The sequence below is a fragment of the Homo sapiens genome, chromosome 4 (genome assembly GCF_000001405.40).
Source record: "Homo sapiens chromosome 4, GRCh38.p14 Primary Assembly".
Taxonomy (NCBI): Eukaryota; Metazoa; Chordata; class Mammalia; order Primates; family Hominidae; genus Homo; species Homo sapiens.
In genome coordinates, this window is record NC_000004.12 from 177826980 (window position 1) to 177845670 (window position 18691).

Here is an 18691-nt window from a genome sequence, read left to right on the forward strand (position 1 = left end):
ATAGGAAGGGTCCTGATGTTCTCTGCTTCATCTTTTCACTTCAGAGAGCCAAAAACTTCACCCTGAGATCATAACCATTATTTGAACATGAAGCATGAAGCTCAAAAGCACTTGCATACGTTTTCCCTTTCATAAATATTCATGACTCCTATAGCTTACTGAATATGCATATTTGGCCACTCTGCTCAGCATAAATTTCTGTTCCCTTTTCCCCCCTCTCCAAGTATCTGTGGTTTCTGGCTGGAGGCTCTGCTTCTCAGCCTGTCAGCATGGTCACCCTGCTGGCTGTAGCCCTTTATAAGAAATAAAATCTTCTCTTCTCCTTCTCTAAATTTATAAATTGCATATTTTTAAGTTAACAAAAGATGGGGAAGTACACAGATGAGGCAGGTTTACTTTATTTTTTAATATTATATAGTGAAGAAAAGACATGGAAGCAAAGTTCTATTTTAAACTTGATAAGCTGGAGATGTCTGCTATGCTTCCAAGTAAAGATGTCAAGTAGACAGTTTCATCTATGGATAGAGATGATTTAAAACTTGGGAATCAAGATTATATGTATGTGATCATTTGACTCCTAAGTTTCTAACGCCTATCTCTGAATTATTCATCCAGAACGTCTTAAACTAGCCTTTCCTTCTAAGATCTTAACCTACGGCAAAGACACACAAGTGGCTCTTTGATTAATTCTACCATCATTTCGTATTAATCTGTTCATGCATTCATTCATCAAATATGTATTGAAGTGATATTTTTAAATGTGGGATTCAAAGAGATAAACTGGGAATGAAAAGAGAGAGGACTAGGCACTGAACCTCAGAGTATTTCGACATTTAAAGATTCTAATAAGGGAAGGAGTCAGTCCAGAAGATTAGAAATGAGAAGCCTGTATTTTAGGCAAAAAACCAGATTCATGTAGAAAATACTCTAAGAAGGAGTAGAGGCTGTGTCAAGTGATTGCCTAATGAAGGTCACTGGGCTTGACAAGGTCCATTTTAGTAGAATGATCCTTATGGAAATCTGGTTGGGGTGGGTTAAGGGGACAGTGGGATGTGAGGCCGTGCAGACTGCTGGTTTCAACTGTTTTTTTTTTTTTTTTGAGGAGTATTCCTATTAACATAAATGAAATCAGGCTTCAGCAGCGTCCGCAGCAAGTTAGGAGGCCAAATATATTTTTTTTACATGGGAGATACTTAGATGTTGATAGTATTTTAGCAGGAAAGAAAAGTTAATAACATGGGAGAAAAAGTTGTAGGAACAAATTAGTTGTTTAGATGGGAGGGGGTAAGACTGTAAAAATGATGGGTTGAATTTAGATAGGAACCAAGAAAGTCTATCCCATATTATTCCAAGGAAAGCAAAGAATATAAGTGAAGATACAGTGAAATTATACAAAAAAAAGTAAAAAAAAAGAGAAGAGAGAACAGGTGTGGTAGGTTTGGGAAGAAAGAAAAACTATGAAATAATCATCTTGGAGAAGAGGAGAGAAAATTGATCAGAGAAACTAGCACAAGATTGCTGAGTAGTGCTGGAGGCTCACTTGGTACTTTTTTACTTAAATCTGTATTAAAAGCGGGCGTGAGTCCTTGGTTTTCTGTAATCACATTTGGCTGCATGGGTGATGGCACAAAGCAGAAAGAAAACTGGATTTAACCAGACCTGGGGTGCTGCCAGGTGAAAATGATAGGTGGGGAGACAGGCAGAAAAAGTTGAAGCTGCATGTTAGGGAGTAATTGCAGTGTTCACTAGACCACTAGACCATTAAATCTGAATGGTTTAGGAAGTAAAATAATTTCAGGAGGGAGGTATGGACAATGTAAAGGAGGGCTGAACTAATGTCAGGAAAGTTGTAATAGTAAAAGTCTGGGTGTTTGTGTTCCTATCATAACTGAAAACATAAGAGGCACTCATTCAATAATTGCATGCCCGAAATTGGGATTTTTTTAAACCTAGTTGAGTTATTGATAATGCTAAAATTTAGTTATTGTTAAAGATATGAGTAGGGCATTTGGTGGCTGAGTTAAGACCGAAGGAAAAAAGTTATCTGCAGATAAGTCAAGAAACTTAGGGGCCAGGGTGTTGGCCAGATCCCTCTCAAGGATGTGGGCACTACCAGGATTGATGAAAGAAATAGTGCTGAGAGGAAGGTCAGCAAAATTAAATATTTGCCAAGAAGTCATATTCTTTGTGTGTCAATTTCTTTATGTGAAGAGTATAATCAGATTAAATAGATTTTTCTCTAAATTTTTAGAGAAAATTTAGAGAAATCTCTTCTTTGAAGAGATTTTCTTTTAATTTTTAAAATGTTTAGCCACTAAAATGGCTCTCATGATTAGAAACTTTTGAAAATTTCAGCTGTTAATCAAATAACTAGAACCTCCCTGATGCTTAGCAAATCTCCATTTCCTTTGCCACATTTTAATATTTATAAGTGTTTCTAGTCTTAATGATTTTCATGTGTATGAAATTATTAGTTATTGAGGATAAAAAACGAAAAAGGCAGGCTTCTATGTGTACATTGTAATTGGGGGTGTAGTCAGGGTGAGAAAAACATAAGAAAAATGAATCTTAATGAGAATGCAGTTACAATAATCCATTTATTTAATGACTATTTATTGAGGGTGTCCTGCGTACCAAGTATTTTTTTTCTTTTTCTTTTCTTTCTTTCTTTTTTTTTTTTTTTTTTGAGACAGGGTCTCACTCTGTCACCCAGGCTGGAGTGCAGTGGTCTAATCTCAGCTCACTGCAACCTCTGCCTCCTGGGTTAAATCAATTCTCCTGCCTCAGCCTCCTGAGTAGCTGAGATTATAAGCACTTGCCACCACACCCGGCTACTTTTTTGTATTTTTTTAGTAGAGAGGGGTTTCACCATGTTGGCCAGGTTGGTCTTGAACTCCTGACCTCAAGTGATCCACCCACCTTGGCCTCCCAAGGTGCTGGGATTACAGGCATAGTTTTTGTGCCACAGATTAAGTGGTGAATAGGCCCTACTTCTCTAGTGATCCTATGCTAGAACCAGATGATCCCACATCTGTCCATTTGAAAACCCGCACATGTACACTGTCTTCAGTCCTGATGAGAGGAGAAGCCAGCTGGACTTCATGGGTCCTGGGTCGAGTGGGGACTTGGAGAACTTTTCTGTCTAGCTAAAGGATTGTAAACACACCAATCTGCACTCTGTAAAAACGCACCAATCAGCACTCTGTGTCTAGCTAAAGGATTGTAAACGCACCAATCAGCACTCTGTAAAAACGCAGTAATCAGCACTCTGTGTCTAGCTAAAGAATTGTAAATGCAGCAATCAGCACTCTGTAAAAACGCACCAATCAGCACTCTGTGTCTATCTAAAGGATTGTAAATGGACCAATCAGCACTCCATACAATGGACCAATCAGCAGGATGTGGGCAGGGCCAAATAAGGGAATAAAAGCTGGCCATCTGAGCCAGCAGCAGCAACCAGCTGGGGTCCCCTTCCATGCTGTGGAAGCTTAGTTCTTTAGCTCTTCACAATAAATCTTGCTGCTGCTCACTCTTTGGGTCTGCACTACCTTTACGAGCTGTAACACTCACTTCGAGGGTCTGCAGCTTCATTACTGAAGTCGGTGAGACCACGAACCCACTGGAAAGAACAAACAACTCTGGTGACACCACCTTTAAGAGCTGTAACACTCACTGCAAAGGTCTGTGGCTTTGCTCCTGAAGTCAGCGAGACCATGAACCCACAAGACGGAAGAAACTCTGGACACATCTGAACATCTGAAGGAACAAATTCCAGACACACCATCTTTAAGAACTGTAACACTCACTGTGAGGGTCTGGGGCTTCATTCTTGAAGTCAGCGAGACCAAGAACCCACTGGAAGGAATAAATTCCCGACACACTGAGAGTGTGTATGTGTGATTCCCTGGGGTTCAGAAGCTCGTAATACAAGAAGCTGTAATACAAGCTTCTGAACCCCAGGGAATCACACATACACACTCTCAGGGTTCTTTCTACTCTGTTTCTTAGATTCATTATAATTGTCTCTAAGAAGGACTCAGAGTTTTAAAAATTGTTTCTCCAATGTTATGCAGAGGATTACAAAAGCAGATTTTCAGATTTTTTTAATAAGAAATTGTGATTCAAGGAGTCTAAGGTGAAGCTCAGGGATGTGTATTTTAATGAGTTTCCTAGAAGAATTTGATACATATTGTCTGAGGACTAAATTTTGAGAAAAACTACCTTAGAGAAACAAAAATAACGTGATCTTCCCTGGGGATAAGGATTAATTAAACCTTAAAAACATCAAAGCAATGCAACTTCTTTCTGGGAGATTAAGAAAAGTTTATGCTTCACAGGTAGGATACTCTCACAGAAGGAAGCTGAGAAGTTCATTTTGTAATTTGTAAGTGTTATTATTGGGTGTTCACACACATGTGTGAGATGTGGCTCCCCTGGACATGTTACCAGCCTGATGAGGTAAAGAGACTATTAAAAATCTGAAGAACTCCAAGATACCATTCTTGCTAAAAGCAACACAGAAAACAAAATGCGGTTACATCTCTAGGGTACCGCAGTGGACACCCCAGCAGCTAAATAAAGGCTAAAGATAATATTTGGCAAGAACCCCTTTTCACAAAGATCTTCATAATGATTTGATATGAACATGCCCTATATTAGTCCACTTTCATACTGCTATGAAGAAATACCTGAGAGTGGGTAATTTATAAAGAAAAAGAGGTTTAATGGACTCACAGTTCCACTTGGCTGAGGAGGCCTCACAATCATGGCAGAGGCAAAGGAGGAGCAAAGGCACATTTTACATGGTGGCAGGCAAGAGAGCATGTGCAGGGGAATGCCCTTATAAAACCATCAGATCTTGTGAGACTTTTCACTATCATGAGAACAGCATGGGAAAAACCTACCCCCATAATTCAATTACCTCCCATGAGGTCCCTCCCATAAACGTGTGGATTATGGGACCTTCAATTCAAGATGAGATTTGGGTGGGGACACAGCGGAACCATATCATGCCCCAATGTGACATAAAACAAGGTCAAGTGAGACAAAAAGCTCATTCATTAGTCCCAGGGCCTGCCTTGTGTTTCCAACATAATGGTCCAGGCCAAGATATGTCTTCAGATCTTTCCGTCCACCTTCTGTGGACCTGTCAAGATCATAATGCTTGCTCTGTGCTTCTTGTCTTGACCTAGATCTCCATCCTTCTCTCACTCCTGAACTTTTCTACAGAGCTTTAATTCTTCAGTAATCTCTCTTACATATTAACTTGACTGTAGGATGTTCTCCCTCTCCTTGCCATACCTCAATCCTAGTTCTCCCTGAGGAAACTAATTCCTCTGTAGTCCTTTCACGTGAACTGCTTATTCCTCCAAATGCTGTTTATCTCAGGGTCTAGATCTGGAGTTGTCAATGAGTTTTACCTCTATTCGCTACTTCAATGCTCTCAATTCCCTCATCCTACTTTAAAGCTTTTGTTCCTTTGAGATTCACCATCTCTAGCACTTCACGTATTGAGTATTCCCCAACTCATCTCATTCTAGAGTTTTGATTTTTTTTTTTACCCTCCCTTCTGTGAAGTGGTAGACTGATAATGCCCTTAATGTCTTCAGTGATCTCTGTACCTTTTGGTACTCACTTTACTTGACCACTTTTCAGAATTAGATATGGTTGACCATATTTTCCTTCCTGAAATTCACTCCTCTGGGCCTCTAAGTCACAGGGCTATATTTTAGTATTCCAGGACCCTCACTTGGGATCATTTGATATCACCTGCCAGATGAGGGAATAAAAACAAAACTAACAAAAAAACTCAATCACGTTAACTAGTTTCTTAAAGTTCCCAGTACGAATAAGGGGCATAATGGAAACATAAATCTATGGCAAACATGGGATCTTTACCGCTACATTTTATGGACCTCCTGATTTTGAGGAGTTCTTAATTAGTTCAGTGATAAACAGAGGCCTTGGGAAGGCAGAAGGTAACATGGTGATTCTGGAACCTGGAAATGGCAGTTGGATGTTGAAAGCAACTAGTGTTTCAGAAGATAAACCTCACTGACATCCTCCATACTATGACCTTTGAGCCTCAAGTGAGACTCTTATTACATCCCCAAAGTTTTAGTCAGATGCCTGAAATAATTATTTTTACCAAAAGAATAAAAAAAAATCGGTACAACAAATAACTTCCTGATCATGAAGCTGAATTCCTTTTACTTTAGGGCCACTTCTCTTGAGTCAGCAAACGTTGTCTTTGTGTTTTTTGTTGGTGTCTTCATCTAATTATGCAGCCTCATGTTTGACTGTCTCCATCAAAATACATTCAACATTATTTCCCTACTCTATTGCTACTTCTGGAAAATACAAACTTTTGTGAGTATTCTGATTCAAAATTATTATGACAAATATGTCTCCATAAAGGATTGCTAGTAACATGATTAGCTTTAAAATATGGATATATAAATTGTAACCTTCTTTTAAATTAAATAACACAACTGATACAATTTTTAATCTTCAAATGTTCCAATCATGTTTTTTCTTTCCTGCCACAAGAGAATATTAAGTCGATTAAAAACAGATTTTTGGCTCTATGCTGAGTAGAAACTTACCTAATAGTAACTTATTTAGTGTCCTTGTGAATACAGCTTTCTAATATGCCACCAGGGAGTAAATTCAACTTTGTGATAATTTGGATTATTAGGTATTTAAAAAAATAAAACCTCAGCTAGAATTGTACTTTTAATACAAACAACATTGCTTTATGTTGTCAGCTCCCTAAGGAGAGTTACTCTTTTTTTGTTGGAAGTAGTTTTTCCATTTACATAATTTATGTTCAGAAAAAGAATTTCAGATAATGATAATGTCATAAAAGGAAAGGTTATTATCTATATCTATGTAAAAATGTGATGAGAGGTACATTTTGATTTGAGGAGAATGAAAGATTGGAGCTCTGTGATGCTTTTGAATAAAGTATATTTGATTATTTCCTTTCTTGTTTAGTCCAACTGTGGTTTAGGAGGACTCCTGCAAGAAGACAGGTGCATAAAGATACTTATCAACTAGATAAGAGTCCATTCAACCTGGAGGCTTATTTTACTTTTTTATATTGCTATTGTAGAAATGCAGTTAAGTGCAAGGTCTACTGATGGAGATATCATGAAATGATAAAAAATTTATATTTGTTCTCACTATTCTTATTATCTTTATATATAAACACATAGATAAAACACAATTTCATAACAGAAAAGGAAATTGACTTTTTTTCCGCTTTTAATTCTGTATTGAAAATATCTTCATCATAAAACACACTTTGGCCCATGCAATTTGATACCTACTTGCAAATCCTTATCAGCAACATACTTTTAGATCTTTGGATCCCTAAAACTGTTACTATCAAAGACATATTCTCTCACTTAAACCTGCTTATATACATGCCTTGGTTGAGTATTAATTTTCTTTTACCTTATTTGTAAGACAGTATTAAAGAGAATCACTATATAAATCAAAGTTATTATTTTGGTAAACTGATTATTCTTTATATTGTATGCAATAGCAAAAAGAAAAATAAGCAAATATCCTCCCAATTTAAGGGAGAATGAAAATGAATCCTTAGGAAGAGAGGTGAAAAAATAATGGTTTTATTAAAATAATTTACAATCATTCATTGAAGCTGAGCTGTACCTTTTATATAAGTTTTTCTGTATAAATTTCAACGAATCCTTCTCCACATCTTCTGTGGTAAAGAAAGCATTAGTGTTGTCATTTCCATGGAAGGCAGTAAAGCCGAGCTGCTGGGATGAGTTGCCCAAGGTTACACACACGTGGTAAACAACCCAAGTCTTCTGGTTCCAACACAAAGTGTTCTTTTTATTAACCACAGCTGCAATCTCACCATTTACATTTTGGAGAATAATTGGAAATAATTGGATTATTATTGGCATATCTTACATGTACATAGAACTCTGATTCTGCATGTTTTTCCACCTTTAAAACCAAGCAGTAAAGTATGTTCCCCTTTTCTGGGGATATTTTTGGATTAAGTAATCTTAAGAAAACAAGTATCCTAAAAAAATATGATAATAAGAATTGCTGGTTGACTTTTATTCTTGCCACAGGCAGCAGTTTGGCAGGTGCATGTAAGTCTTGATGAGACTGTCTTATTAAATTATAGGACCAATTAGTGCACCTAGATATATTTTGACTGGTTCTATACCTATGGCACCTATAAATTATAATTGGCTGGTGATGGTTGTGACTTAACTATACCTGGAACTGATAATCATATGTTATAATTTCATATAAATGATAAAAATAATTATAACTCCCAAATCTTGGTGATTGATTTAGCAATAGTCTTTTAGAAGTACCGTAATACCTTACCTAAGAGATTTTAATAATCTTGAATTGATTCAATGAGATATTTCTTCAAGTAGTTCTAAAAAATGCATAGATTTCATTATCTTTACTATGCTGTGACAAGTAAAACATTTTCCGTCCATGAGTTTTTGGAGATACGAATTCTGTCATGGAATTACAGACTGGAGTTTTACGATCGCTGAGAAAATAATCATTAAAGATAAATCTATTAAATCCTAATAAATAGACAAGTCATCTAAGCTTTAGCATCTACAGTTATGTGGGGTGGTAATGGTTCAATCTTTCACTTTTGTTAAGAAGCTGAAATGTTTTTCAAAGATATTGAATGTTAACAGCAAAAGATAAATTCTTCATGTTGACACAGTGTTTCAAAAGAAGTGTCGATGTTATACTTATAGCAGGTGAATTACTCTTTAAAAATCTGTTGTCTGCATTCCTGTGTGTGGCTTCCTGATCCTCTCTAGTTTACAGCTTACAAGTATACTACCTGTCATCGTTCAGAAGGCTTGTTTCTAGTATTCTTGGCTGAATATTCTGTGTGCCTTAAATTTTTAAAGACCAATATGGATGTGGCATAGACAGGTGATTCTCAAAGGTTAGCATTCACCAAAATTGCCTGATGGGCTTGTTGACATACAGTTTGCTACAACCTACCCCCCAGAGTATGAGACAGTAGATCTGGAGTAGGGCCTAACAAATAATATTTCCACCAAGTACTAGATGATGCCGCTGGTCTAGAGCTTTTGATAACCACTGGTCTACAGTAACAGTTAATAGCTGGTTCTCTAGAGACGGACTGCCTAAATTAAAATTTATTTCTGTCACTTAATAGTTGGTTTACATTCAGTGAGCTGCTTTTAACTCTGTGATTTAGCTTCCTCATCTGTACAATGAGTCTCATACCAGTACCCAGTTCATAGAACTATTCTAAGATAGTACCTGGAACAGAGTGAGCACTCAACAACAGTCAGATATTATCATTCTTTTCAGAGATCCATTTGACTCTAAGCTCATGATAGCCAATAAAAAAAATTATCTTATTTTTTTTTAATAAACATACTGTGTTCATGGTAAGGAATACTGAATATAGGGCAGATAATACCTGGAGTAATGTATTTAACTTTTGCAAACATATTTTTAGAAAGGCTTTGATAGTCTGGAATGAGTCCAGGGAAGGTAAAGAGACTTAAAATTCTGCCACATGAGGGAGGGGTAGAGACATTTTTTGAGAAGGGAGTCTGTATTAGTGACACCCTAACTGTGTTAGAATACTCAGGCACTTATCATTGCCTGAACACAGATATGCTATTCAGTGCTTTTTAAAGAATTTTTGCCTTAATATAAAGAACATTATATCAATTATATTTTTCCAAAAGAATGGCTTACTCTGTGTGTTTGTAAATTCCTTGTTATTTACTGTGTTTAAAAAAGAAATGAGCAATTTTTTATTATAAAGTTTGGAAAACTATGTCCTATCTTGCTAAGAAAGCTGAGTTAGCCTCTCTTTTAGGGACTTTCTATATCTAAAATACTCCTTGGTCTTATGAACTTGCTTTTACATTTGACCCCATAGATTATGTTTCCAAATGTCAGACTATATTTAAAGTCTATGCAATTATGATGGAGTAAAATGTGACACAAAATCTGTTAATTTTATTCAGTAAATTCTGCCTGCTTGGCCCCACAAGAAGTGGAATCTTGATTATGTCAGTCCTGTTGCTTAAATACTAGTCTGGGACTATTATACTGAGCTGTGACAAATTGGACTGTCCATAATTTCCAATCATGCCTGATTCCACTATTGTTGTATGAAGATGGACTGCACTATCTTAGTGCAACCACTTGGCTCACCACAATGCAAAGCTGCTGTTGCGGCAAAGACAACAAGAAGGCCTGCTGGCAAATAGGCTACTTGAATCAGACAGTAAAGCGAGAAGCAAGGAGTAATGGTTATGAAGATAACTATCCTCAGGGAATATTTTTTGCTGTGAAGCGTCTATGAGTGTTTGGTGCATAATCCATTCAGTTTACTTAATGCTTTTGCCAAATCATGCCCTCATGTTTCTGTTTCCCTCCAGACAAATGAATATATGTGAAATGACAAAACTTTAGGTGATATGTGGCATGGAGATATTAAACAATAAACTACAGTGAAATAAAAGATTTAGAAGAATCTTCAGCAAAATCACTGTTATAAAAGAAAAGGCATGGAGTTGGATAGACCTGATTCAATGCCACTTCTTTTCCTTTTTTATTTATTTATTTTTTTGAGGCAGAGTTTTGCTTTTGTTGTCCAGGCTGGAGTGCAATGGCACAACCTCGGCTCACTGCAACCTCCGCCTCCTGCTTTCAAGGGATTCTCCTGCCTCAGCCTCCCAAGTAGTTGGGATTACAGGCATGTGTCACCACGCCAGGCTAATTTTGTATTTTTAGTAGAGACGGGTTTCTCCATGTTTGTCAAGCTGGTCTCGAACTCCTGACGTGAGGTGATCCGCCCACCTCAGCCTCTCAAAGTGCTGGGATTACAGGCGTGAGCCACCGCAACCGCCTAATGCCACTTCATTTACTAATTCCTGTTTGGACTTTAGCAAATTTCAGTAGGGCTTGGTTTCTTATCCATAAAATGGATAATTATGCCTTAAGCTTGTTGTTGTTTTGTTTGTAAACTGCGGGGAAAGATCTCCATGAACTAGGGAATGACATGTCCTCTTTGATAAGCAGACTTTTTACATCCAGTTATACAAGTCAAGTTATACAAAGCATAACTTGACAGTCACATGTAGTAAAAGACAGAATGGCTTATAAACATGCAACGCTTTTCTTGAACCTTAATTGAATGCATTTAGCATCTAAGGAAAGAACAAGTCTTTGGACTTGTTCTAAGGAAAGAACACATGGACACTCAGGTACTGTTCAGGAACCAGGAAGTGAAATACAATACAACATCAACATCGACTACTCTGTTGCCATTTTAAAACTATGCCTTTGGCTTTAAACATTAAGTGTTTTGTTGTTGTTTTAATTCAATGTTCAACAGATACCAATCTGTGGAAAATTATTTTTCCTGTTTAAGACTAGTTATCTGAGAGAGTTCCAGTCTCTATTATGGTTATATAACATTTGTCATTATAAATTGAGGCTTGTGGATTTGGTTAGTGAAAGGCAACCTGAGAGACTAATTCCCTCGCAGTGTGTATTAAAAGATTTCTGAGCCTGCATGGATGAGAGCCAAACCTTGCATACTCACCAGCATGATCCATTTTACCCTACGAGACCTTTTGGGAGACAGCCGGCCAGTTTGTTTTGAAGTAAATGCCCCTGGACACCAACTTTACTGCATGCAGAAATTTTGAAACATCTTAATCTCCCTTGTTGTGAAGTGTTCAGATTTAGAGGCAATGTAAGGGAATTGACTATAACTTAATGGACAAGTCTTTACTAAATGTAACACATAATTAGATGTAGACTTCTGAATTCAAAATAGGTTTTCTGAAAACCTATTGTATCTGGGATATGTTATTGAATGAGTAATTCAGTGGGAGTTACGAAGGGACTGTAAAAATGTATTTGTTAAATGGTGAGCATATCATAATAAAAAGTAGACCATATTTATGGAATGCACCGTGTATGTCAGGCATTATATATGACTTTTTTTTCTTTGGAGACGGAGTCTCGCTCTGTCGCCCAGGCTGGAGTGCAGTGGCGCGATCTCAGCTCACTGCAATGCAACCTCCGCCTCCTGGGTTCACACCATTCTCCTGCCTCAGTCTCCCTAGTAGCTGGGACTACAGGTGCCTGCCACCACGCCCGGCTGATTTTTCGTATTTTTACTAGAGATAGGGTTTCACTGTGTTAGCCAGGATGGTCTCAATCTCCTGACCTTGTGATCTGCCCGCCTTGGCCTCCCAAAGTGCTGGGATTACAGGCGTGAGCCACCACGCCCGGCCGTATATGACCTCTTAACCCTCAAAACATCCCTTGGAAGTAAGTTATCTTAGTCTCCCTTTAGGTAGCTGGGTCATAGTAAGGTGAAAATAACTCTCACAAGTTTCACAGCTGTTGAGTGCTTTGCCCAGAGAGTCTGGCAGAGACCCTGTGCTGAAAACACTCTGGAATACTGTGGTATGTTAGAAGATGTTGCAGAGATACAACTTGTTTCTTCCCAACATCTATCATACCACTTTTGCATGCTAAGAGGACATCTGTAAGATTGAGAATGCAAACAAAGAAACAAAAAACCCAAAAACAACTTAACTGTAATCTCCCTTTTTCCTTAGGTGTAACTTTTCTCCTTAGGTGTGACTAAATTCTGACTATGATAATAAAAGTTGTAAAGCTGGAATTCAGGAATGTCACATTAAAGGAAGAATAGGTAGTTTGTGAAATAATTGTATTATGTGTTTCGTTACTCTTCATCCTCTTTCCCTTTTGGTGGTAATGTAGGTATAAAGTTTGGAGCCCCAGCAATCATTTTGGATCTTGGGATGACCTCAAGGATGGAAGTCACATGCTAGTATGCTTATGCAGATAAAGAGTTGGTCTTTGATGAAATGCAAGCTGCAGTATCAAGTTTGGACATTTTTCATCTGGACCACTTTTTATTTGATGTAAACCCTTGTGCATTTAAGCCAGTTACATTTTGAATTTTCTGTTATAGGTAATCAAATACGATCCTAACAGCTAACAAGAAAGAGAAGGCAGCAGTAAGAGATAGAATATTTTTAACCATGTTTTTATATTAAAAATGGAAACGGGCAGCAGTGGTGATCTTTTTCATATCCCTCCGCTTCACTCATCTTTATCTTCTTTCATGGGTATCTCTGTCTTAATGCGACTTATGAGTTTGCTAGCACTTCAGCATAGTTTCATAAAGGCAGGATGAACCTGCTGTGGGATTTTAAATGATGTAACCGATAATGTCCCCTAAATGGAAAACTTGTGAAAATGAGAGGAAGTACTATGAATAACTATAATTGTCTAAAGGGTGTAAGCCAGGGCTGCTCTAGATATACCTGGATGTCAAGTCACCCTAGGTTTAATGATAGAAAGACTGAAGAAAAAGAGGAAAAGAAAGAAAGGTACTGTAATAGAAAAACGTGGACTAGAGAAATAGAGAATGACTGATTTTAAAAAATACATCTAATTTCTATTCTAAGGTGCTTCACAGTTTCATGAATCGTAAGTGTAATAAAGATTAGATACTGATAATGGTGCTTGCTATGATTATTATTACAAGGATGATCCCAATTATGATCTATAAAGCCTGTTCAGCATGAACACCAGGTTTCAAAGGGAGGTGATGAAAAAACAAGACCTAAAAGGAATCTCAGATTTCTGCCAGTCCTTTGCAGGAACAATGCATCAGGGGCTGATAGAAATAAGTAAGTCTGCTAGTTACAATTTCTTTTCCCAGAAAACCATAGGCGATCTAGGTAAGCTTTAAACAGACATGAAATTCTAGTTGATGTTCAGACCTTCTATGACCGCTAGAATTTGGAGTTTCAGATTTTTATGGCTAAAACGTGGGGTTTTCTCTGTGGTTTACAATAGCATACACTTAAGCAACAACATGAACAAACATACCTGTTTTTCTCTGAATCCTCCTGAATTAATGCTGAACAACCACCGAGGCAGAAAATAGGAGCAGATACATATGAAGAAGAATTCTTAGAGTATTAGAAGAGTATGGTGATACAGCAGTTTCTTGAGGGTGGACTTAAAAACAATAACGAGAAACCCAGTGGGAATGAGAAAAAATAATAGACTGGTTAATGACAGAGCTAACTAAAGAACAACAACAACAAAAAGAAAAACAAATAAATGTAGCCATTATATCAAAGGACAGAGAACCACAATATAAAAACTAAATGGGGAAAAAACTAGTAATAAAATGTCTCCTCTCAGGTGGGCACAAGCTCATGATAGAAAGTCAGTAAAATTTTTTGAGTGTATTGTAATTGATGATTCAGAGCAAGAAAAAAAAAAAAGCCTTTTTCTTCCCTAGTCTTCTAAATGAATCTTCCCATTGTGATCTCAACAAAAGGCCAAAATAATTAAAAAGGAGTAAGTTATGTGTGCATAACAACCGTGGAAAAACAGGTACCCAACAATGAAGAAAAGCAATGCAACTGAGAACAATAGTGCTTTCAGGATAAATGGCTTCCCAGAAGCTTAATTTCCAATGAGAAAAAAATGTTCTGAAAATTGTACCCAGGCTGTCACAGAACACAACATTTAGATGGTCTGTTATTCTGGGGAGATTAGCCATAGATAAAGAGAAACCTATTTTCAACTTTTAATTTTTCTCCCTGTCACAATGTGCTTTCTGGCTTATTTTGTTTGGCTTTAAGTGAGACAAAAATATTCTTCTACTTATAAATAACATACTGGTGGCAGGTGATTGAACTCCAACCTAGACATATATTGCTGAGAGAAATGAACAAAAGCACTTGTGGAAAGGAGAAAAGCAGAAATTAAGTTTACTATTTTATATGTTGCTTTTCCAAATTTTTAATCCTTAGCTTTTAAATTATTAAGAAATACATAATGTGAGAAAGGATAACAACGTCTAAAGCCACTTATTTAAAAAATCCTTTTAAATAACTTTCTGGATAGTAAAACGAGTCAAATTTATTTTTAACTATTTCACTTACAAATTTTAGGGGTTTTTGTTACTCACAACAGATAAATCTATACACCACCACTTCCTCCCAATAAATTTTTTCAGTTTTCTTTTTTTTTGGATTATTTTTGTTATATTTCATGTACTAATTGATACATATGAAAGAGAATAAGAAGTTGTATATGTAACAGAACACAATTTTTAAAATGAATATCAAACCAGTACCCAACCTAAGAGCCAGAATTATTGTATTTCCCCGAGTGTTCTTCATTCCCCAGCTCCATGAACAGATAATCACTGTCCTAGATTTCATGTTTTAATCTTGTACTATTTCTGAAAAACACAATTTTATTGCATATATGTTTTTTCTCTATGTAAAACATTATTAGTTTTGCTTGCTCTTAATTTGTATAGAAATTGAATCACACTTCATTTGGTCTTCTAAATTAGATTTTTTTTTTGCTCTGTATTGCAAAGAATCACACGCATTGTATGTAGCTGTAGAACCTTCCTTTTCACTGCTATGAAATCCCATCACATACACAGAGTGCAATGTGTTAATTTTTCCGTTGAATAATATTTTTGTTTTTGTTTTTATTTGTTATGAACAAAGCTGCTACGGCCATTCTTGTGCGGAACTCCATTTTCACATGCAAAACTAGTTCTATATTTTCAGCGGATAAATATAGCATTGGAAATTTATTTTAATACAGTAGGTGAATATTCAACTTGAAGGATAATTCCATCTTGTTTTCCAACATGGTTATATCAATTTATACCTTCAATAAAGGGTTTAGGAGCTCTAATTGATTTATATCATTTCCAACACTTGGTATTTTCCGATTTAATTCTGGAAATGTAATAGGTATAAAACTGTATTTCAACGCCATTTTAGTTTGCATTTCCTGATTACTAATGCAGTTGAATATTTTATCCATCTATATTTTCTTGATAATTCCTCTTTTATATGTCCATGTCTTTTGCAAATTTACACATCAGATTGTTTTCAATCGACTTGTTTTTTTTTTTTTTTTCATTCAGAATGGTTTATTACTCACGTATTGAGCAGTGTGGCTCCCAACCAGATCCAAAAGTGGCTTGAGAAAGCCAGAAAAGGAGACTGGCTTTGGGCTTTTATGTTGGTCAGGGTGTGGCTGAGCTGAGGATGCCATCCAGCAAGCCTGCCCTTTGTACGTGAACTTCCCGCCTGCTGATGCCAATGGAGGGAACACTTGGACTTTCTTACCAGCTTGCCCACATGGAGGGTAAGAGGAAAAGTGGGAGTGGTGGGGTTCAAAGTTGTCTCCAGTGAAACATCAAAATTAGAGTCACACTCATAAGTTATAAGGTAGGAACCCAACTTCACTGTATCCATGTGGTTAGCCAATTGCCTTTGTGCCATTCACTGCATAGTCCTTTCTTTCCCCGGGGTTCTGAATAGAATATCTCTGTTCTATACCAAGTTTTATGTCTGAGTGGGTCTGTTTTTGTAACATTTTTAAAATTTGTTCATGCTGGTGCCATTGTATTCACTATTATCTAAATTATAATAAATATTGATATTAGGTAGGGTAAGTTCCTACCAACATTTTTTTCTTCTTCATCAATACTTTGTTTACTATTTGCCCTTACTCTTTCATGCAAATTTTAGAATCAGTTTGTCAAGTTATGTGGATGAAAAAAGCTTTTGTTTTTATATTACATCAAAGTTATGAATCAGTTTTGGGAAAATTGGCATACATAAAACATTGAGATAGCCTATCTAATTAACAGGCATAAAGTTTCACATCAGCAAGTTGCATAAGCTCTAGAGATCTTCCAATGTACAGCTATTGTACCTATAGTTAACAATACTATATTGTATACTTAAAAATTTAACAGGGTAGATTTCAGGTTAAGTGTTTTACAACAATAAACTTTTTTATTTATTTATTTATTTAGTATTATACTTTAAGTTTTAGGGTACATGTGCACAACGTGCAGGTTAGTTACATATGTATACATGTGCCATGCTGGTGCCCTGCACCCACTAACTCGTCATCTAGCATTAGGTAAATCTCCCAATGCTATCCCTCCCCCATACCCCCACCCCACAACAGTCCCCAGAGTGTGATGTTCCCCTTCCTGTGTCCATGTGTTCTCATTGTTCAATTCCCCCCTATGAGTGAGAATATACGGTGTTTGGTTTTTTGTTCTTGCGATAGTTTACTGAGAATGATGATTTCCAATTTCATCCATGTCCCTACAAAGGACATGAACTCATCATTTTTTATGGCTGCATAGTATTCCATGGTGTATATGTGCCACATTTTCTTAATCCAGTCTATCATTGTTGGACATTTAGGTTGGTTCCACGTCTTTGCTATTGTGAATAATGCCGCAATAAACATACGTGTGCATGTGTCTTTATAGCAGCATGATTTATAGTCCTTTGGGTATATACCCAGTAATGGGATGGCTGGGTCAAATGGTATTTCTAGTTCTAGATCCCTGAGGAATCGCCACACTGACTTCCACTATGGTTGAACTAGTTTACAGTCCCACCAACAGTGTAAAAGTGTTCCTATTTCTCCACATCCTCTCCAGGACCTGTTGTTTCCTGACTTTTTAATGATTGCCATTCTAACTGGTGGGAAATGGTATCTCATTGTGGTTTTGATTTGCATTTCTCTGATGGCCAGTGATGATGAGCATTTTTTCATGTGTTTTTTGGCTGCATAAATGTCTTCTTTTGAGAAGTGTCTGTTCATGTCCTTCGCCCACTTTTTGATGGGATTGTTTGTTTTTTTCTTGTAAATTTGTTTGAGTTCATTGTAGATTCTGGATATTAGCCCTTTGTCAGATGAGTAGGTTGCAAAAATTTTCTCCCATTTTGTAGGTTGCCTGTTCACTCTGATGGTAGTTTCTTTTGCTGTGCAGAAGCTCTTTAGTTGAATTAGATCCCATTTGTCAATTTTGGCTTTTGTTGCCATTGCTTTTGGTGTTTTAGACATGAAGTCTTTGCCCATGCCTATGTCCTGAACGGTAATGCCTAGGTTTTCTTCTGGGTTTTTATGGTTTTAGGTCTAACGTTTAAGTCTTTAATCCATCTTGAATTGATTTTTGTATAAGGTGTAAGGAAGGGATCCAGTTTCAGCTTTCTACATATGGCTAGCCAGTTTTCCCAGCACCATTTATTACATAGGGAATCCTTTCCCCATTGCTTGTTTTTCTCAGGTTTGTGAAAGATCAGATAGTTGTAGATATGCGGCGTTATTTCTGAGGGCTCTGTTCTGTTCCATTGATCTATATCTCTGTTTTGGTACCAGTACCATGCTGTTTTGGTTACTGTAGCCTTGTAGTATAGTTTGAAGTCAGGTAGTGTGATGCCTCCAGCTTTGTTCTTTTGCCTCAGGATTGACTTGGCGATGTGGGCTCTTTTTTGGTTCCATATGAACTTTAAAGTAGTTTTTCCAATTCTGTGAAGAAAGTCATTGGTAGCTTGATGGGGATGGCATTGAATCTGTAAATTACCGTGGGCAGTATGGCCATTTTCATGATATTGATTCTTCCTACCCATGAGCATGGAATGTTCTTCCATTTGTTTTTATCCTCTTTTGTTTCCTTGAGAAGTGGTTTGTAGTTCTCCTTGAAGAGGTCCTTCACATCCCTTGTAAGTTGGATTCCTAGGTATTTTATTCTCTTTGAAGCAATTGT

General features: G+C 36.9%; 2 long non-coding RNA genes and 1 pseudogene across 2 annotated transcripts in view; 2 read left to right on the forward strand and 1 right to left on the reverse strand.

The window, feature by feature from the left end:
* LINC01098 (long intergenic non-protein coding RNA 1098) overlaps positions 1-18691 on the forward strand; it is a 261994-nt gene that overhangs the window by 98223 nt on the left and 145080 nt on the right.
* LINC01099 (long intergenic non-protein coding RNA 1099) overlaps positions 1-18691 on the reverse strand; it is a 95891-nt gene that overhangs the window by 14934 nt on the left and 62266 nt on the right. The window lies entirely within an intron of this gene.
* LOC124900914 (uncharacterized) lies at positions 4370-4456 on the forward strand (annotated as a pseudogene).